This window comes from Homo sapiens, chromosome 17 (assembly GCF_000001405.40).
Source record: "Homo sapiens chromosome 17, GRCh38.p14 Primary Assembly".
NCBI classification, from domain to species: Eukaryota; Metazoa; Chordata; class Mammalia; order Primates; family Hominidae; genus Homo; species Homo sapiens.
The window spans coordinates 34,113,357-34,135,318 of record NC_000017.11 but is presented as its reverse complement, the minus strand read 5'-3'; the positions used below and the strand labels follow the sequence as shown (position 1 = coordinate 34,135,318).

The 21,962-nt window shown below is 46.3% G+C and overlaps 1 protein-coding gene and 1 pseudogene across 1 annotated transcript in view, besides 1 other annotated feature; both read left to right on the top strand.

Annotated features, from left to right (window-relative positions):
- ASIC2 (acid sensing ion channel subunit 2) overlaps positions 1 to 21,962 on the top strand; it is a 1,143,682-nt gene that overhangs the window by 21,450 nt on the left and 1,100,270 nt on the right. The gene's annotated exons all lie outside the window — the stretch shown is intronic.
- Positions 6,786 to 6,905: a silencer, noted in NCBI's record as "fragment chr17:32455433-32455552 (GRCh37/hg19 assembly coordinates)". NCBI's record gives its function as "represses an EF-1alpha promoter that drives an FKBP-Casp9 reporter gene in an ReSE screen in HepG2 liver carcinoma cells {active_cell/tissue: HepG2}" and the evidence as "EXISTENCE:reporter gene assay evidence [ECO:0000049][PMID:32094911]".
- Positions 15,152 to 15,263, top strand: RNA5SP438 (RNA, 5S ribosomal pseudogene 438; annotated as a pseudogene).

The following is a 21,962-nucleotide window of genomic DNA, read 5'->3' as shown; positions in this document are numbered from 1 at the left end:
ATCTTCTATGCCATGTTCCTGCTTTCAGTGATTCAGCTGCCAGCAGGCAGGCCTGTTTGGGACTGCTTGGTCACAGTTGGAAGACAAGTGCAATTTTTGGTGTAGGCTGACCAGGCCATCGCTGGCTGGGCTTTGCTGGCCAGAACTCAGAGAAGTTGTGAAGTTCTGTTTTGGAATTATTAATTAAGAGCTTTCCAACTTATCTAGCAGAAAGAGCCTCCACTTCTAGCAAAGCATTCCATTTGGCTTTGGAGTTCTGACAAGCCTGTCTGTGGGGTCTCAAATGTCACTCTACAGTCACCAGTCTTTTAGTAATGACCTGTGGTTGGCTATAGCTGTTCAGAAAATTAGAATTCCAAAGTTCAAGGCATTACTATTATTATATTTTTGGCAGAGTGAGGGGTATGAACTGAAGGGGCCCAAGGAGGTACTGCCTACGTATGGGTGGGCGAAGGTAGGGGGTGGCCCCAGGATTCAGAGTAAGGAGTGCAGTTTGACTGTGAGCTCCCTCTCCTAGAAATGACTGGCTGCATGTCTGTCTACGAGAGTGGTCATAAGCAGAGGGTTTCCTTCCTGAGGTCAGACCTGATTAATCTTGGGATTGGCGCAAATAGAAACAGATTCTGGAGTATGTGGTGCAAACTGGCATTGAGAAAGTAATCACATAACTTGTTGACCTAGAACTTCTCCATGTCTCATCACTGGACTCAGGGCAAAGTCTCCCTTCTAGGTTTCTCTGGCACTTGTGGCCTGGGCTTTGCTGGTGCTTCCAGCCTCATCTCTACGATGGCTGCACTCCCATTCCTCTTCCTTCCATTCTCTCCTTCCTGCATTGTGCATTTACTCTTTGCCAGGGACTTGACCTGGATTATTTCTCTTGGGGACAGGCATGGATATCTAACTTGCCCGGATGGACTTGGTTAAAGGTGACTGTCCAGCTCTGGTGAGAGGACAATGTGGCCCCTTTCTGGGGACTTTGGGGCATTTGACAAGACCATTAGTACTTAAAGATGGATGTTGTGCCTGAGGGTGATAGGGCGGTCACAGAGAGAAGTGACCATTTACAACATTTCAAATGCAATTAAATCATTGTTCACCCCCAAACCTCTGATGCCAACTACAACATGACTCTAGAAGGCTTCACAGCATTTCCTTTTGGGGCATTTCAGACTTCAAGGGGGCATTAACCATTACAGATATAAAGAAGGGATGCTGGCTTCTGAATTAGAGAATCAGTACCTGGAAGCTGACTGTAGCACTCATCAGCTATGTGAACTTGGTAAGTATCTCTCAGAATTAGTTTCCTTCTCTCAGGGTTTTTCAGTCTTGGAACTAGTGACAATTTGAGCCACAGGATTCTTTGTGATGGGGGCTGGACAAACTGTAGTGTCCTGTGCATTACACTATGCTTAGCAGTATCCCTGGCTGGAAGTGCTCCTCCCACACCCCTCACCCTGCAAAGCTCCAGACATTACCCAGTATCTCCTGAGGGGCAAAACTGTCCTCAGTTGAGAACCACTGGTTTACCTGTAAATTGGGATGTAAAACCCCTATGTCACTTAGTTGACCTTAGGTGTAAATAAGTGTGATTTGCAGGAGAAATCACTTTGCATACAGCAGGTGGCCCTTAGCAGACACAGTGAGGCCCAGGGAAGCTGTGGGTTTCCTTGGCTGCCTCACAAGAATGTTTCACCTGCTGGTGCCAGGCCCTACGAAGGCTCCTCAAGCCAGGTGAGTACCAGGCTCATTGGCATCACTGGTACCCTGGCCTGTGGCCATGCGTGTGAATGTCAGCCTCCTGGGCTTCTGTCCCACAGCTCAGAGCCAGGGCTGCTCTTGGGAGAATGCACTGATGTTCTGTAGCCAGCTCAACAGAGACAGCCTGACCCTGGGCCAATTCCAGAGCATGAGGGATTCCCAGGGGTGTAGCTTCTCCCAGCACCTTTTTTAGGTGAGAGGAAAGAACCATTTACCGAGCATTGCCATGGCTCTGCCCCCCACCCACCCAGGGACACTACCCCTTCCCCTACACCACAAAAATAAAAGTAGAAAATAACCAAGAAAAAGAAAGACGCTTGAAGGCAAAGAAATCTGAGTTCATACCCTTTCATTGCTTCTAAAATGGGAAATCAATCATATGTATTTATATCATATCATACATCTATTTATCAATCCCAGAGTCAGTATGAACATTTAATTAAATCAGATAATTGATGCCCAACACTGAGTCTGGCTAACAGTAAGTAATAAATACTTGGTAGTTCTCTTCTGCCTTTACATATATCATCTCAGTTCCCTCTCACAATGAAAGAGGGAGATGTGGTATTAAATTGGGGTGACCCCAAACAGGCCGCGATGGGTTAGATTGGGGCCTAGGTCCCTCTGTGGAGGAGACTGTGCTTCTAGGGAGCCCTACCCTCACTGTCTACAGAGGTCAGCTGAGCACAGGCTTCCAGGATGGATGGTTGAAGTATGGCCTGATTTTTTACCTGAGACTTCACAGCTTATAAAGAACACCTACACACACACTTGTTACCTAACAACAGCCCACAGTGGTAGGGAAGGTAGTTGTTATTCCTATTTTGCAGGCTAGTGAGAGGTGAAGCCAGCTGGACTTCGTGGGTCGAGTGGGGACTTAGAGAACTTTTCTGTCTTACAAGAGGATTGTAAAATGCACCAATCAGCACTCTGTAAAACACACCAATCAGTGCTCTGTAAAACGCACCAATCAGCACTCTGTAAAATGCACCAATCAGTGCTCTGTAAAACGCACCAATCAGCAGGATCCTAAAAGTAGCCAGTTGCAGGGAGGATTGAAAAAAGAAAGACCCTTGAAGACACGCTGATAGGACAAAAACAGAACATGGGCGGAGACAAATAAGGGAATAAAAGCTGGCCTCCACCCGGCTCGCACTCCATCCCCAGCCAGCAGCCGCAACCCGTCTACCTGTCCTTCCACGCTGTGGAAGCTTTGTTGTTTTGTTCTTCACAATAAATCTTGCTGCTGCTCACTCTTTGGGTCTGCGCAACCTTTAAGAGCTGTAACACTCACCACAAAGGTCCCCGGCTTCGTTCTTGAAGTCAGCGACACCACGAACTTACCGGGAGGAACCAACTCCGGACACACTAGGAGATTCAAACTCAAGGAAGTTAAAGCACTTTTCTGAAGCCATACTCTGGTAAGTGGCAAAGTTGAGATCCCAGCTGAGGTTAGCCAGGCTTTACATTCTTGTGTCCCCTGCAGAGGCATTATGATCCTCCTGTAGAAAGCCCAGAGATCAAACTTATAGGGCATAAGAGATGGTGTCTCAAATTCCAGGACAGCACCTACAATTGTCACAAAAGTTTCCAAAATGTCCCCGTCCCACTGCCCCAAGAGAGACCAGAGTTCCTAAATGTCCCTCAGAGAAGAATGGAGAAGCTAGACCCAAGGTAATTCGTCAGTGGGCCAGCACTCAGGCTTTCACACGCTGGGATCCAGATTCTCAGACCTTTCAGGGCCTCTTGTTTATCTGGTCCCATTTGGACAGGGGGCCTCGGCAATGGCCCCTGCCCAGCAGACCCTGGGTCTCAGTGGGATTAAAGGAAAGGCACGCAGAGCCACAGACTGAAATATTTCTCCTTTGTTTTTGTGGTAGAGTGTGAAATATCTCTAGAGCATTTGTGGACAGGGTTTAGGCTCAGGAAGATGTCCCTGCTGTCAGCAGACCACAAGCTGGCTTCCCCCCAGGAATGGTTGCGTGCCCAGGCAGGGGTAAGTCAGGGCTGGCTTTGCTCAGGTCCTGGAGGGTGACAGCTCAGCCCTGGAGCCTCTGTGGCTGAGCTGGGGGCAGAAACCTTTATGTGGCTATTTATAGGTCCTGATGGCCAAAGGAAGGGAGCTATCCTGATGCCAAAATGACTCTTCTGGGGCCTAGGCAGTGGAGCTTGGGGGGCTGGCAGTTTATTTAGGGAATACAATGGCCTACTCAGAATGGTTATTTCTAATTGATTCCTCCCCAGCTCCTCTCTCTCTTCCATCCCCATTATTCCCATGACCAAATGGCCCTGTCTGAAACACAGCTCTCAATATGTCACTACTTTGTCCCAGTCCATCAATGGCTCTCTATTGTCTTGCCAATCTGCATTTCGAGGCTCAGTTTCCAATTCTTCATGGTGCAAAGCCTAACTCTGCCGTAATATACAATTCACTCTTTCCCGAAGGCTTTCTTTCCCCACTGGCCCCTCAGCTTTGTTCCTACTATTCATTCTCAGAATTCCTCCTTTTTCTCTCCCTTAGCATTGGTTTGTTGAAAGTCTGCTCATCTGCTAATGTCCATCTCCAATGCAGCTTTTTCCGCGAAGGCTTTCTCGATCTCTCCCTACTCGCTGTACTCATTCCTTAAATACTTGTTCTCTGTCCATTGAATAAATGCCTTGGTGCTTTTTACCTAAGGGCAGGCATCAGAGTGGCCGTATAATAATTTCATGTATAAGCTTCCCTTCCCCTGAAACCCATCTTTTCATTTCAAAAAGCATTTGTTGAGCATCTGCTCTCTTCTAGGCAGTTGCTAAGGGATGCACTAGTTATGCAAACATGGGTAATGCAGGGCCCAGCCCTTGGGGAGCTTGCTGCCCAGATGGGAAAACGCATCCTAACAGATTCATTATGGTGTGAGAAGCATCATGGAAGGGAATTCCAGAGTTTGGAAGAGGAAATGCTTTACTCTGTTTGAGGAAAGGTGTGGGCATTGAAGCTTATAAGACCAAAGACACCTTTGTCTTTCAACAGGGACTATATCTTTCTTGTCTCTTTCCCTGTGTGTCCAGACAACACCTGGGACATAGATGATGTCCAGTAAATGTGTGTTGCACTGGGACTAGTTAGATATAGGTTCTGTGTTCTCCAGGCTCCTTTGAGCCCTTGCCCATATCCCCATTTATACGGATTCAAAATCATAACTGTTGCATCTCCTCGTAAGCCATGAGGAGGAAAGCAGTAGTTGAATCTGATTTCAGCACCTGGAAAGCAGTGGTTGAATCTGATTCACTGCATTATCTTTGGAGCCTGCACAGGGTAAGGGTTTAAGGAGCTTTGCTGGGTGAAGTCATGGGTGGCAGTGACTGCCTCTAATGATCTCGCCTTGAAAAGTGTGTGACAGGCTCAGTCAGAGCATTCTGTCTTTCTTCATGTCTCTAATTTAGTCCTTTCATGATGTGCAAATGAATATTAACTCCTAAACCCCACAGATAGCCTGAAGAGTGCAGAGCAATAGCCTTAAAGTAAATGGCAAGGTGCAAGTTTCCATGGTGGCTTTATCGTTCTCTAATTGGACTCACCTGGCTGTTGGATGACAGTACTTCCTGCTCCACTGGGCCAGCTCCTTGCTGGTTCAGGTGCATCCCTCCCAGCTCAGTGGACCCCCTTGAGAGGCAGGACATGGTATGTCTGGAGGGTGACAATAGCTTTAGCCTTTGTTCTGTACTTGGTTCATTGATAATAGGATGCCCCGTCTTCTAGATTTTAAGGAAGCTTTGATCTGGGGATCCAAGAAGATTGGAAGCAGCTACTAGTATGCCCTGTTTTAGGTATTCCATTATAAAAGGCTTCTGTAGACAAAGAAGCTTGAGAAAGATCTTGGTGAAATAGAACTACTTAGATTTCCTCAGGGCAGGACTTCTCATCCATCACCTTTGCTGTGGTTGACAGGTACTGTGAGTCTCCATGAGGGGGTACTATAGGCAGTGATGTTTATTCTTAGCCAAGAACCTTTTAACACTCTAGAGAATAATTTTGGGAATTATTAGTTCCAGGTATAACATGGGACATGGCCCTTTAAGAGTGTGGAAGAGGTTCCTACCCTGTGGTATGTGTGTGTATATCAAATGCGGTCATGTCCTACCAGGATTCCCAAAGTTGATTCTGACAGACAATAATTCCCCAGAATTCTTACATTTTACAGGAAAAGAAATTGTATTCCAAGGCTTGTTATGCTGTACAAGTGGAGAGTTTGGCCTCAGAGTGAGGCAGAGTGGGGCTTGGATGCTGGTTCCACCATATAAAGTCATCTCTGCCAGTTTCCACACCTGTACGTGGGGTGATCCTAGTCCCCACCTCATTAGGCTGTTGTGAGGATTAAATGGGATAAAGGACATCACATGCTAAGCATAGTGCTTGACGTGTAATAGGTATTTAGTAGATGTAAGCTATTAAAAACTAGATTCATACGCTTTTTATTCTCATAGTTCATGAGCCCGTGCTCTCGAGGGTAGGGGGTCAGGCATCACTCTGCACACTGATCTTTAGAGTGTTCTCTTCCTTCGGTGTATTCATGTTCACTCCCTCTGCTGTGGAGCCCAGGAGTTCTCAATATAAGAAACCACTTGTTGATATGAAAAATAACTAGCCGAAACCCCAACCACAGGTGGATTAAATCAGAATTTCTGATGGTGGCGCTGGGGCATCTGGCAACTTTTAAAGCTCCCCAGGAGGCTCTGATGTGCAGCTGGAGCTGAGCTAGACCGAGACTACCCCCTCTGCTGACACAACCTCATTCTTCCTCCAGCCCCAAACTTTCTGTAGAAAAGGGGAAAAAAGCCAATGCTGACTTTTTTGCATGTAGTAACACGGCATCAAGAAATGCTTCATTTAAAGAGAGTGCTGGAGGCAGTAACAATAATAACTTGCTTATCTAGCGCACAGTTCTAGTGCTAGAACTACTCCCATAAATGTGGGGTAGGCAGAGCAGGGACTTTTTCCCTTCTCCACTGAAAGGATGAGGAAACTGAGGCTCTTGGAAGTTAAGTGACATCCCTCAGGTCATGCAGTGACATAAACAGGCCCCTCCTCCTCTACTATCACATTGAATAAGTGTGGTTTGCAGGGGAAAGTGAACCACACTGCAGCGGGTGGCCCAAGGCAGGCACAGTGGGACCAGGGAGGTTCATGGTTCCCTTGATGCATTACAAGAACAGCTTCACCTGCTTTGCCAGGTCCTATGAGGCTCCCTGCACCTGGGGTCCCTGGGAATTCAGTGAGCTGAACTTCTCAATAGGGACAAGGTGTGGCAGAGTGGAATCCCACGGGCCACTTTGATAAGACTACTTTGCCTCCCTTTACCCAATAAACCCTCACAGCTTCTGATGTGTTAGTTATTCACACCCATGACCTGGGCCTTTTACTCCCCATTTGATTCCCTTTTTCTCATCCTCTACCTCCTTCTTTTCTTCATTCTCCTTTTCTCAAACATTTATTAAGATTGTACAAGGTGTTAGGCACCCGTGGGATGTGGTATCATCATCATTATATATTTGTGGCTGTCAGTGTGCTCTCCTTGCCTCTCTGAGATTCAGGGAGGTTGAGTAACTTCCCCACAGTCACACAGCTAGAATAAGGTAGAGCTCACACATGGATCTAGCAGGCCCAGTCTCCTTTGCCCAAGGCCCGGGATGCTCAGCATAGAGAAAGCCAGGTTGGCTCTGAGCCAGTGCCAGTCCAGGGATCCCTGAATTTGCTCTTTGTACAGCCTCCTCTTTTATCATATTCTTTTCCTTGCATGGGACAGTTTCTTGTATTCTTGAGTTCAGCCCTCCCTTCTTGTGGAGGGCTCAGGTGGCATCGGACTCCTCCCTGGAGCTGTTGCATCCGTCCTGCAGCAGGAAGAGCAGGGGAGCTGAAGCCCCCAGCTGCCCCACTGAGGGAGAGAGTGTGTGTCCAGGCTGAGAAGAGGGGTCCCTGCACTCCATGCCTTCCCTCTCGATTCTGCTACCTATACGTAGAGAAAAATTGATTGCTGCATGACTGGTTTGGAAATGGGAAGAGGCTGATGGTCTGGGAAGAGAAAGGGGATGCATCCACAACTAAATTGAAACTCTGGCTGTGGGGGCCACATTGTCTGGAGCCTGGTGTTTTACGGACTCAGAACAAATTCTAGAATGTCATAGATGGAGGGTAAACCCAAGACCATCTTGTTTTTTGCTTTATAGAGTTCAGAATGAAGCTAAGGAGAGATCAGCAATCATGAGAGTTAGAGACAGACTGGGCAAGGCAGGGAGGCAGGGAGATGCAGAGGCAGACCCAGATCTTGTGATAGGAAGTCCTCATTTCTAGTTTGAAAAGCCCCGATGCTCATACTGCCTCCTTTGACCCCCTGGCCTTTCACATAGAAAACTTACTCATAACGAAAAACAAACCCCCTCTTACTGAAGCTGATTTGAGTTGTGTGACTGTTACCTGCAGCTGTGGATTCTGCCAAATGCAAACGCTTACTGGGAGCCTACAGGCAGACTGCTTCATTGCTTATCCATGGGCCCTCCCACCTTAATTTCTTAGACACTCTTCAAGGGCACCCCTCTGTCCTGAGTTGGAGGGTGGAATAATCTGGGAAGAGGCTTGTGCTCCCTGTCAGGGATGTGTATTTTCCAGGGACGTGCCCGGGCTACTCAGCACATGGTTCACGCACTAGCAGCATCAGCATCACCTGGAAGCTGGGTAGAAATGCAGCGCCTCAGGCCCCGCTCAGCTCTGCAGAAACGGAATCTGCAGCTTAACAAGGTCCCCAGGTGACTCATGTGCCCACTAAATTGTGAGAAGACTGTGTGGTCCCATCCACCTCCATCCCCTGCCTGTGCCTGCCTTGCCTCTTCGTTCAGAGTCAGAGAACCTCATCTGTGCTCTAAGCAGCAGGCCGGTGGTACTGCTGACCAAGAGTTGGTAGCTCTGTCCTGACAGTGGATGAGAGGTAATGGATCAGCCAACTCCCTAGGGAGGCTGAGAGAGAAGTGGAGAAGAGGGAACATCTCTCAGTGTTCTCCCTGATGTTGCCGTACAGGACTGAGGTCCTTGGCATGTTCAGAAGGCTGAGGCTAAACAGCCCCATGCAGGAAAGGCAGGCTGGTGGAGTCTGGGAAAAGCAGGCATAGATCTCACCTCTGGGGTGCTTTATTTATTCCGTACTTTCCTCCACCACCCCAGGCTGTGGGATAATGAGGCTTGGCTGCTTGGTTTTGAGTATGAGGCAGTGGAGTGGGCTAATAACTGTCACAGATGATGCCTAAGTCTCACTGGTGTAGCCTTTAGTCACAATAAACTTCCTTTCTGCTTACATCACAATCCAATCAAGGCTTTGATAGGCAGTCCTCCTCATGACAGCTCAGGGCCAAGCCTCTTCCTGTATAATGGCTCTGTCTTCCCCTGGAGCCTTCAGTCCTCCACTGGGTCCTCTATGTCTTGCCATGAGATGAGGGGAGGAGACACACCAGCTCTTGAATGTGCCTACCCAAGGTAACCCACTTTACTTGCATTCACACTTCATTGAGCAGAAAGCTTAGTCCACAGTCCCACTCCGCTCCAGTGGAGGCTGTGACATGTGGGATAGCCGTGTGACCAAGGGGAGTGACGTGGATGGGGGGCATGGCCTCCTGTGTTCCACAGTTACCTCCCTGCCCTCTGGCTGCTCTCTGGAGCTCAGGATTTGGTATCTGAGCTCGTACCTGGATCCTCAGTTTCAGAAGCTCCAGCTCACCCGCAAACCATGTCTTAGCGGCTGTGGTATTGTGGAGACATCTAGGCATGAGAACACAATCCCACAACCTACTACTTGTGGGGCTGTGGGCAATTCATATAATCATGTTACACCTCAACTTCCTCCTTTATAAGATAGGAATCATTCCTACAGATCGTCTTACTCATTTATTAAAATACACTGAGAGGATCTGAAGTGCTCCAGCCCAGAGATGGTAGCCACAGAGATCCCATGGGACAGTCTGGCACTGTCATTTGGGTATCGTTTCAGTCTATTCCCTTCTGAGACTGGTTCTCTGGTCTCCTGGAGATTCCATGAGCTACCTAACATCCTCTAACAAATTACTTTTCTGATTACACTGGCTAGAGTGGGTTCTGTGGAATTGGTGCTGTCCCCAAGACTGCATTAAGACCTTCAGTTGTCTTCTGATCAAGATTATGATGTTTCATCATCTGCACCCAAGTTAATTAGAAATAAAAACAATATAAACCACACACACATGCGCACACGTATACACATTGTGTGCCAGGACCTGTGCTGGGTGCCTGGGATAAACTAATGACAAGGCCTGGCCATTTCAGCGGATGCTGGCCTGTGAAGCGGGGGGCAGACACTGGGCATACAGTGCTGTTGTGTGTCAGTAGCACTGTGGTGAGGGCATGCAAGTCTCAATGGGGACACGGAGGAAGAAGGACATGAGTCTGTCCTGGGGTATAGGTAAGGCTTTGTGGAGGAGGTGTCTCTGGAAGGGAAGGGAAGACGTTTTTCCAGAATAGGGAAGGAAAGGCACTACAAGCAGAGATGACATACATAGAAGTCCTGATGTGTGGGTGAACAGGACATTTCCTGTGATCTATGACATGGGGAACACTGAGGATTTTTATGGACTACATGTTGGTGATCCCCCAAAATTTGTATCTTGAAAGCCTAATCCCCAATATGATGATATAAGGAGGTGTGGCCTTTGGGAGGTAATTAGGCTTAGATGAGTTAATGAGTGTGGAGACCCCATGACGGCATTAGCGTCATTACAGGAAGAGGGGCTAGAGATCTCTCTCTCCATGATGTGCGAATGTCACAAGAAAGCAGCCACGTATAAACTGGGAAGGGGGCCCCCAAGAAGAGCCTGACCATGCTGGCATCCTGATCTTGGACTTCCAGACTTGGAAGTGTGAGAAATAAATGTGTTTTTGTTGTTGTTGTTGTTTGTTTATTTTTCCTTAAGCCACCTAGTCTGTGGTATTCTGTTACAGAAACCAGAACTGACTGTAAGTGGGATGATAACTGAAGCTGAACAGGCAAACCCATCAGATTAAGGGGGCTCTTTTGCTGCAAAGTTAAGAAGTCTGAGCCATAAATAAGGAAGTGGTATCACCATATGTGTGTTTTAGAGTGATCTCCCTAGCAGTACTAAAGTGTATGGATTGGAGTGGTTATTTTGTAGTATTTTGAATTTTTAAAATGCTATTGTGTAGGTCAGTGGTGCTTCGGTGCGTGAAGCAGCCTTTAAACTGCTTAGAAAGTATATTAAATATGATAGTAATAGTAAGTGATGTCACCCATTACAGTTTTACAAGGTGCCAGGCACTGTGCTAAGTGCTTTCCTGTATTCTTTCTGTTACATAATCTCTGTGCCTCAACCTTCTTGTCTGTAAAATGGTGAGAAAAATAATACCAATGTCACCCAGTTGTTTTGAAGATTATATAATTTAATATTTTTATTTATTCATTTTTGAAGCAGGGTTTCACTTCTGTCACCCAGGCGGGAGGGCAGTGGCATGATCTTGGCTCATGCAACCTCCACCTCCGAGGCTTAAGTGATTCTCCTGTGTCAGCCTCTCGAGTAACTGGGACTACAGATGCACACCACCGCACCCAGCTAATTTTTGTATTTTTGTAGAGATGGGGTTTCGCCATGTTGCCCAGGCTAGTCTTGAAACTCCTGACCTCAAGTGATCTGCCCACCTCAACTTCCCAAACTGCTGGGATTACAGGTGTAAGCCAGCACACCCAGCCTGTAACTTACTATTTTTAAAAAGCTTCAAATGATCCCTAGTCCAGGTCAAGCCTTCAGTAAAGGTTGCTTTTGGTTACAATGATCCTAAGAAGCAGGAGACCATTGTTCCATTTCACAGACGGAAAAGCTGAGACTTGCAAGACCACTCAGGTTGTAAGTGACAGCTGCTGGATTTGGACCTAGACTATCTGGTTGTAGACTCCAGGCTCTTAGCCAATACACCACCTATGCAGTCATTGTCACTGTCATGGTGACTCAGAGGTGGAAAGCAAGAGGTAGGTGCCTGTACAAGGTGACTCCCAGGGTACCCCCACTGCTGAGCAAGAGGTACCTGCCAGGAGCTGGCTGCCATTCCCCAGGAGTCTGGCCCCTCTCCCTCCCTGGTAGTCTACAAAGGGAGGGCAGGAGGTGATAGGGAAGCAGGAAATGACATTGCAGTGGAGCCGAAGCCTTCCTCCTGACTGGGTTGGGCGGGTTCCTGTGGGGTTTCTGGGTAATGGTGCCAGCTCTGCTTGATCTCAGCAGCTTCATTTCGTTGCCCTGCCTAGAATCCAGGCGAAGATGAATCCTCTCCCTAGTTCCAGGGCCAGCAGAGAGAATCTTAATAGACCAGATTGTCTGCCCAGAGCTTGTTATCACCCTTGGAGAGGGCCATGTTCTAGGGGATTCTACCTTCTTCTCATAGGCTGGGCAAGACTTGTCTTCCGACAACTTGGAGCAATTGGAACCCTAGATGCCCACAGAGCTGTTGACTGGGAATGAGTGGTGGAGCCTGGTTCCATGAATTTTTGATGGACTTCCCTACTGAAGATATTAGTGTGCCCTTTAAAGTGGATAATTGAAATTCAGATTTGGATATTTTATTACTTGACGATATTCTTTATGAGGCTGCTTTGTGTTTCCCAGTGACTTGGTTGCAGCTTTAGTGACTCCATTATGGAGAAAGATATTGATTTGTCAGGGTGGTGTCAGGAGCGCTGCTCTGATGAAAATTGATTTATCTCTCCCTGAGCAGCTTGTGTTTTTAATTGGTCTTTGCCTCCAACAAGGTGTGGGGTGGGTGTGAGTGGGGGAGGGTGCCTCCCCTGCCTGGACTCTGTTCACCACTACACACTGTAAACAAAGCTTGGGATACAGCACTGGCTATGGTTTTATGCTCTGCTCTGAGAAGATAAAATAGCTCCTCTTTTGCCCCTGCTAGTGTTTATAACATTTGTGTTCATTCCTCTCCTCCCCTGACACAGACACATGTAGCTGGGTGTGACGGATGAGGACCATGGGAGAAAGACTCGCTCTCTCTAGATGAGAAACAAGTCGATATCGAAGTGGCAGGTGGAACTGGGGAGGTCTCCATTTGCATTCCGATGAACCGTGAACCACAGGGAATAACTTTTAATTGCGAGACTTTGACATGATTGGCTCATTCCTTCATTCATTCTGGTAGTGTGGTGGAGTCGGCTGCCTGGGCTGGACCCTCGCTCCCTTGTGCCCCTTCTGCCACTTGCTATCTGGGTGTGCTGAGCACTTATTTAATCTCGTTGAGACTCAGCCTCCTTGGGAATACCAGGAAGATAATGATGCTTGACTGACAGGGTGGGTAGGAAAAGGAAATGAAATGATGCAAGCAAGTCCTTAGCACATTGGCTGGCCCCAAATAATACAAATAAGTATTAAAAGGCAACAAGTAAAATAAATATAACAGATGAAATAAATAAAAGATAACAACCATTTGTTGGGCACCTGCTCTGTGCCCATATGGGCTTTGGTCATACAGAGATGGCTCCCTGCAGCAAAGCACTGAGTGCCCTGGTAGAAATGTACTGTGGCCTAGGGGACCCCTCTAAAAGTGCAGAGAAGGGCATCATAGGAGGGAGAAGGTTCAGAGAAGACTCCTGAAGGAGTTGATAGCTGAACTAATTCTGAAGAAAGTAAATGTTTGTTATGTGAACAAGAGAAGCCAGGTAGAAGATGATAATATGTGAAGTTCCTTAGATGGATGGCATCATTTGATGTTGGAGTATTTTAGTAGGCTGGGAGCAAAGGGTGCATGGGAATGTAGGGGCAGGAGGTGATCTAGGGTGATGGTTACAGCCTTCATCATGAAGTATCTTGAGCTTAGACTCCTTTGTCAATGTCCTGAAGACTCGGAGGAGCTGTTGTGACATTTCAAGGTCTTAATCAGAGGAGGGACATGATGAGATTGATATTTCAAAAAGGTCCCTCCAGCATCAGCGTGGGTTGTAGATTGGAGGGCACTTGAATATGTAGCAGGGACACTTGCTTGAAGGCCTTTCTAATGCTCCATGTGAGAAGATAGGATGGACTGAACTAAGGGTGTGATGGTGGAAATGGGTCAGAGAAGGCAGATGGGAGAGACGAGGGAGGGGTAATACTGGGACAAGGGTGGTTGTGGGGTTGACAGGAGAGTACAGGCGAAGTTCCTTTCCAGTGTTTGGAAGGATAGTGGGTGCATTCATTTCCTAAGCTTGCCATCACAAAGCCACAAACTGGGTGGCTTAAAACAACAGACATTTACTGTCTCACAGATCGGGGGCTAGAAGTCTAACATCAAAGTATCGGCAAGGCCATGCTTTTCCTTCAAGGCTGGAGGATCCTTTCTTGCCTCTTCTGGCTTCTGGTGATGCTGGGATCCTTGGAGTTCCTTGGCTTATAGATGCCTCGCTCCAATCTCTGCCTCTGTTGTCACATGGCTGTTTCTCCCTGTATATTTCTCCTCTTATTAGGAGGACACCAGTACTGGCCAGGCACGGTGGTTCACGCCTGTAATCCCAGCACTTTGGGAGGCTGAGGCGGGTGGATCACTTGAGGTCAGGAGTTCAAGGCTAGCCTGGGGAACATGGTAAAACCCTGTCTCTGCTAAAAATACAAAAAATTAGCCAGGCGTGGTGGCAGGCGCCTATAATCTCAGCTACTTGGGAGGCTGAAGGAGGAGAATCGCTTGAACCTGGGAGGTGGAGGTTGCAGTGAGCCGAGATGGTGCCATTGTACTCCAGCCTGGGTGACAGAGCAAGACTCTGTCTCAAAAAAAAAAAAAAAAAGAAAAAAAAAAAAAAAAGAAGGACCCCAGTCATTTTGCATTAAGGTCCTACCTTACTCCATCTAGTATAACCTTGTCTTAACTAGTACATCTGCAGTGACCCTATTTCCAAATAAAGTCACCTTCTGAGTTACTGCGATTTAGCACTCCAACATATCTTTTGGGAAGATACAATTCAACCCATAACAATTGATCCTCTTCTCCCCTACCCCCTGAAATATGTGTCTTTCTGATGTGCAAAATACATTCACCCTATCCCAACATCCCCCAAAGTCTTAACCATTCCATTATCAACTCTAAGTCTAATATCTCATCTAAATGAGCCATATGCGTGTGCACAGACACACTCTATACTGTATCAGATTTCCACTGAGCTGGGAAAAAAGCAGGAGGAGCAGTGGGCACCAGAGAGAGGCAGAGGTGGGATGGCTGAGGAGTTCAGTTTTAAATGTGTTGAATTAATAGCTCTCATGGGATACCAAGTGAAACCGCTAGCAGGTAGTTGGGTACTGCATATCCTTATGACTTTGTTATCCAGTTCCCCCATAATTGTCATCAGAAAGGAGCTCAAATCTATGGCCATACTACCTTCAACGTGCCAGATCTTACGTGATCTTGGAGGCAAAGCAGGGGCAAATCTGGTTAGTACTTGAATGGGAGCATGGAGCTCAAGAAACCTCATGACAAAAACTGCAATTGCTTTGAGGTCAGGGGTGCACAGGAAATCGTGTGAATGAGGAATGAGCCTGCCTGCTGTTCTGAGGTGCATCTGGAGAAGAGAGAAAAACAGGTGGAATGAGGGGTTCTGGCTGGTTAACCAAGGCTTTGAATGTTAATTTGTCTATTAATTGGATAATATACGTTAGTGCTCACCCTATGTCAGGCACCATGGGGGACTTCAAAACAAACTGTCCACAAATCCCATCCTCAGAGTTTACAATCATAACAGACGGGAATTGTGGCTGGACAGGAGCTTGTAGTCCACAGTTGTAACACAAGGTAGAAAGTATGAACCAGCAGAAGGAATGAACTGATAAATTGCTGTGGGAATTCATAGAGAGGGGGAGTGGGCTCTTCCAGGGCTGGTTGTGTGTGTGTTTGTGTGTGTGTGTGTGTGTGTGTGTGTGTCTGTGTAGAGAAAGGGAAGCTCATAGAGGAATTGACTTTAGAGCTGGACTTTGAAGAATGAGTCACATTCAGGCATGAGGAGATGGGGTTGTGGAGGCTGGCTTTGGAGGCACACAAAATAAGAGGTAAAGGAAGAGATCCTCTAAGCATTAACCTGGGAGCATAATGCATTTAACAGGTAAAAATAGACATCAAACTGTATACATGTTGTATAAAAATTAGGCTAACAAAGCAGTGTTTTTATTTATGCTGTCTCACTTGATACAATAATGCTTTGTAGAAGAGATCTTGTTTTCCCCTTTTTCAGGTAAGGAAACAGAGGCTTGGGAGAGTTAGGTAGCATGGCAAGCTCAGACGGCAAATGGCAGAGCTGGGACTCGAATCGATGTCATGTGACTCCAAAGCCCATAACCCTTCTATTATGTTCCCTTTATTACTTTTCTCTCTTTCTTCAACACTTGATTAAAACTTGCTTCCTTTGAAATACTAGCCCAGAAGGAATTCTGTGGGCTCCACTGAGTAGCCATGACTGGGGAAGAGGATGGAGACAGCTTATAGGATGAACCGTTTCTGTTCCCAAGCTAAACATCTCTCTTGCCACACTTTCCTGGCCTCCAAAATGGAGATTATGGAATGGGCAAGAGAAAATGTCTATGTAATACAATGAAAGATCATGAAAGATCATCTGTCTGTCAGCAGAGTGAACACAGCCAGGGCAGGACTGATTCTTATCCATGCTCAAGGCCACTTGAAGCTGCTCCAGAAATTCAGGCTTGGACAGCACAACCTTAGAGCACCCGTTCCCTGGATTGGAGCCAAACAGTCTGGACATCTCACAAGAGACCTGCAGAGATGTAAGGACACACTCACCTCCTGTGTTGGGGAAGGAGTGACTCAGCTGGCTGGAACACAGTGGCCAAGAGGGTCAGATAATCTTGCTTTATTTCCTAACCCGGACCGGCCTTTGTTCCAGGACAGGGATCCTGGTCATAGATCCAAAAACAATAATCACAAATCCATCCCACATCCAGGAAAGGGACCAGATGCATATTCTGCTGATAGTGGCCAAGAACGTGGCTGGTCTGTGTGTCTAACGGGCAGTGCATGGTGACTGCACTGCATCAACCTTAATGGGATCTTCTGGAAGAAATGTCGGTGTGGGGAATTGTAGAAGATTGGTCTTTGTTTCCTTCTCTGATCAATAGTCTCCTCCAACCCCACTCCCAGCACATACACATGAAAGAAAATAAAGAAAAAGAAAAAACATGCTACTAACAATAGCACTTCTCTTTCATGAATTATTATTATGTGTGAGATGCCATCCTGAGCCTCTTACATACATTAACTCATTGATTCCACTGGTAGCTCTGTGAGGTGTATACTATTAGTATACTCACTTTATAGATAAGAAAACTGAGGCTTAGAAAAATTAAGTAAACTTTCTAAGATTATACAATCCATTAGTGACAGTGGAAGATTTAAACCCATGGCTGCCTGATCCAGAGGTTAAGCTCTTAATCACTATGCTTAACTACCATGACACATGAAAATGAGCCAGGAGACCCCCCAGCCTGACACCAGAAGAAGAGCCTTGAAGCCTTACAGGAATTCTCCAAGGTCCTGGCTAAGAAGTTGCACTAGAGAATGGCATTCAAAGGCACTGCGGAGCTGATTTTCATTCTGAGGACTGGATAGTGTAATGTCCTTGAAGCTGATGGGGAGATTTGCTCCTTGCTGTTATTTATCTAATCTCCCCTGGAATCTGTTCCTCCTCCTCTTTTCTCAATCTTGGTTAATGATGACATTATCTAGTGGATCTTCCAAACCAGAAACCTCAGAGTCATCCTCAACTCTTCCCTCCTTGTTAAGGCCCCACCCCCAAATAATCCATCACCAGTCCTGCCAATTGTATCTAAGAAACATATCTTGAATCCAGCCTTTCTCCTCTCCACCCCCACAGCTATGGTCTGAGCCCAGGACTTCAGCATCTTCTGTTGGGATGATTGCAGTCACGTCTCTTTAACTAAAGCCCTTCCCAGTCTGGACCCCAGGTTCCCTAGGTTACCTCTCCTGGTACCACATCCCACGAGACCCATGCTTCAGGTACTAAAGTTTCCCTCAAAATGAGGTGCCTATCCATGACTCTCAGTCTTTCACAGGCTATTCTCTCTGCTTCAAATGTTGTTCTTCCATTTCAACATTGGGGAAACTCCTGTTCATCTGTCAAAACCCCAACCATATGCCGTTTCCTCTGTGAGTTCTCTGAATGGCTCACTGCCCTCCCTGTGCTCTGGCTGTACTCACTTATACATGTGGGTCACACAAACTGGGCTGTTCTATAATTTGTCTGTTTATATATCTTTTTTCCACCAGAGATAAGACCTTATTCATCTTTCTCTCCTCTTCCCTAGTATACTGTGTAGCCCATATAGATGTTATATAAAGACTGTTGGTTAAATGAATGAAAAATCCTGACAGATTGATGAATTGAAGGGATGAATCTGGGGAAAACAGTGGAGTCTGACAGTAACCTGTGTGTGTGCACACTTTCCATATACACAAACCCACGATACATATTTCCAGGTGCATATTCTCTGCCAGAACACATCATATGCATGCACCACACACATACTACATGCTACACACTACACATACTTATTTCCGTGCACACATTGAACCAATGGCTGGTTCACATTGCATACACTTGGTACACACCCACCCACCCACACACACACATATTATACGCCCTCCTCCCCCCACACACACTTGCAAAAGGTATCGGAGTCTCAGAAGGAATTCTTTGGAGTCTCAGGAATTGTTATTACTGCCAAGAGGCCCAAGATTCTTAACAGAATCATGCCATGGGAAATGCTACCCTTTAGGTAAGACATACTAACAACAATCACAAGCTTGTGGGTGGCATCTTTTAAATCTCACCCCTAGGGAGAAAGACAGGTGGTCTAGGGAGAGAGAGAGCAGGCAGAAGCTTTTTCAGAGGCTTCATGAAAGCTGATTGGTAAGAAATGAAAGAAAATGCCACCACCAGCCTGACTGCCACCCCCTGACTAGAATGTAAGATTTCTTTAACACCTTAGCAGACATACTCCAGCAGGAATTACACCACCTCACTGGCCTACACTGAGGGGTGAATCACTGCCATAAAGCCTTTACTCAGAGCAGGGTTTTCTAATGAGGATGGAGACTCACATGGGAGAGTGCAAAAACTGACACTGAAGTAAATTCCCAGCCCTGTGCTAGGTTCTATCTATTACCTTCCTTAATAGCCACCTGAGGAGGGAGACATTATTGTTCCCATTATGCAGATAAAAAACAGAGGCCTAGAGAGAGAAAGGCATTTTTCTGACATTATACATACTGGTAAAACAAGGATTCAAACTCAGGTCAATGCAACTGTAATCTTGGTCAGTCCACCTTGCCCATTGAATTGAGAGGGAGAAAGGTGCTCAGAAAAGGGACTGCAGGAGACCAAAGGTCAAACGGTTTTCTCTGTGACTTTGTCAAGAGTTGTCTATACTCTCAACACTCTCTCACACCAAGTGGTTTGGGTGTTAATCTCATGCTGTTCCATGTTGGGTATCATATGCTTTCCCTTTCTTCCTGCCCTTCTCTGGGTTTGTGTCTCTAGTTTGGGGCTTCAAAACCCATATAGAGTGGATCCCATCAGCCTTCTCCCCATTATCTGCTGTTAAAATTGTTATATGTGTTTGGAACACATTTTCACTTATGTAGTTATATGTACTCTTGCGCTATTGGATAAAAGCAGATATACCTGAATAAGGGGAGTGTTGGTCAAGTTACAGCTGAAATATGGTGTTTTCAACTTGTTAAATTCTAAGTGCCACATCCTGTAAGAAACATTATCCAGAAGAGGGAAGTGGGATAGGACAGGGTCTAGGAACAAAGCCATATGAGGAATATTTGGAGGAATTGAAAATGTTCGGCCTGGTTAGACTTGCAAATATTTGAGCAGCTCCAAGCCACACAAGAATAGAAGTTAAGAGAAGGAGTGTTAACAAATGGATTAGTGAATGAATGAAAAACAATTAAAGCCATCAATTAATGGCCTTCATCTCTTCAACATCTGTTGAGAATCCACTGTCCTCCATACTCAGCACTAAGGTCTATATGAAATGGTTTCTTTGGGTGGTAGGCAACCTCCAGTCCCAGGAAGAATTCAAGCAGGGGTTGAGTGACTACTTGTCATGGGCAACATTAAGGAGATTCTAGTACTGAACGGATGATTGGGAAACATGAGTTCTAGTGCACTGCAATTCAGATTCCCAAAGCTCCTTAAACATAGGTACAGATGTCTTTGTTTTTGTACCATCCAAAACACTTAATGTAGGATACTACATGCTCTAATTGTTGACAGGTTAGTTGGCTAATGTAGCACATGACTGTGCTATCCACTTGGATAGTCGGTGTGCAATGGGGTGACTAAGCAAGTAGTTGTTTTCCATGCCCCAAGAGAATTAGATGAGAAGAGAGCTGAAACAAAAGCAAAATGGAGTTGGCTCTAAAGAATGTGTTGACCTTGAAGGTTACTGGTCACTGAAATGAGCAACGGAGGGAAAGTTGTTTCTCTGTTCCAAGTGGTTCCTTGAAATCTCTAGGTACCCGATTCTACAAGACAATAATCACGGGGTGCTCATTAGACATGGCCCTGGGCTATACAGTCAGAGCTGGACAGAATTATTCAAATTGTCCTGGCACCTGCTGGACTTCACTGTCTTAACTAATTGCCCTGCCTCCTGACCTTATGTCTGCCTCCTCTTACCCACAGCTTTTGGTGGCTCCAGGCGATTGCTCCATGAGCTCTGGGGAATAATGCTGGCTGTGTCTGTGCCTCCACCCTTTGCATCATAGGCTGAACCTGCTCCCCACTTCTCAGGATAACACTTAACCCTCACTGTTTTCAACACAGAAACATTATTCTGGGAAAAAGAATGATGCTAGGTACCAGGTATTGGGCAAATTGTAGTACATCCCTGACTTGCTTTTAGCCCCCCAAAAAATCCTTTCTGCAGATGTGGATCTAAGAAGTTAGGAATGTTGCCAAAAACACACAGCAAGTGAGTGGCAGAGTCAGGTTCAATTGGGTATTATTTTTTCCTTGTCCTTGCTCCAAATCTCATGTTCTTCCTACTTGATGGGAAAAGGGCTAGCCCCATGCAGAAGTCTCTCTCTCTCACCCTCACAGACCTTCCCAGAGCCACCTGCTTGGTTTTAGAGTGTGGGACAGAACATGCTGTCCTCCCAGTTGATGAATGCCAGCTGTGCCTCCCTTTGCTATGAGCCAAGAGTTGTGCTAAGGGATGGCTTAAAGTGCAACCATTTAAAGCACTTTTCCTAATCCTGTTCAGGTTTGTTTCATTCAACTAGGTGCAGGCAGGAAGGATCAGCCAGCTTGGACAACTGCACTGCCAATTTCTTCTTGATCTAAGAGCATCTGCTTCAGGGAATAGTGTGTTCTGAGGAACCTCATGAACTAGCTTTGCACCAAATGAGAAATTCCACCTTGTGATGATCCTTCCTGTCTCCTCTGAGGCAGTTTCTAGACTATAGTAAGTGCTCAACAAATAGACGATGGATGACTAAATGCAGATCTGGTGCCTCAAGCTCTTCATCTTTTAAATGATGAGGATAACTGTATCTTCCTAGCAGGAAGTGAGTACTAAATCAGCAAGCTCATTTTATTCTTTTTGTATTTTTATTTTTTCAGAGAAATGGTCTCTGTTGCCTAGGCTGAAGGGCAGTGGCCCAATCATAGCTCACTGCAGCCTCAAACTCCTGGGCTCAAGTGATTCTCCTGCCTCAGTCTCCCAAGTAACTGCGACTGTAGGTGCACACCACTGCACCCGGCAATTTTTTTTTTTTGTACAGACAAGGTCTCACTTTGTTGTTCAAGCTGTGCTTGAACTCCTGAGCTCAAGCGATCCTCCTGCCTTGGCCGCCTAAAGTGTTGAGATTATAGGCATGAGTCACCACGCCTGGCTTAATTTTCATCTTCTTCCTTTTTTTTTTTTCCTTAAGACAGAGTTTTGTTCTGTTGCCATAGGCTGTAGTGCAGTAGTGCAATCATAGCTCACTGCAACCATGATTTCCTGGGCTCAAGTTGTCCTCCCACCTCAGCCTCCTAAGAAACTGGGACTACAGGTGTGCACCACCATGCCCAACTAACTTTTTGATTTCTAGTAGAGACAAGGTCTTGCTATGTTGCCCAGCCTGATCTCAA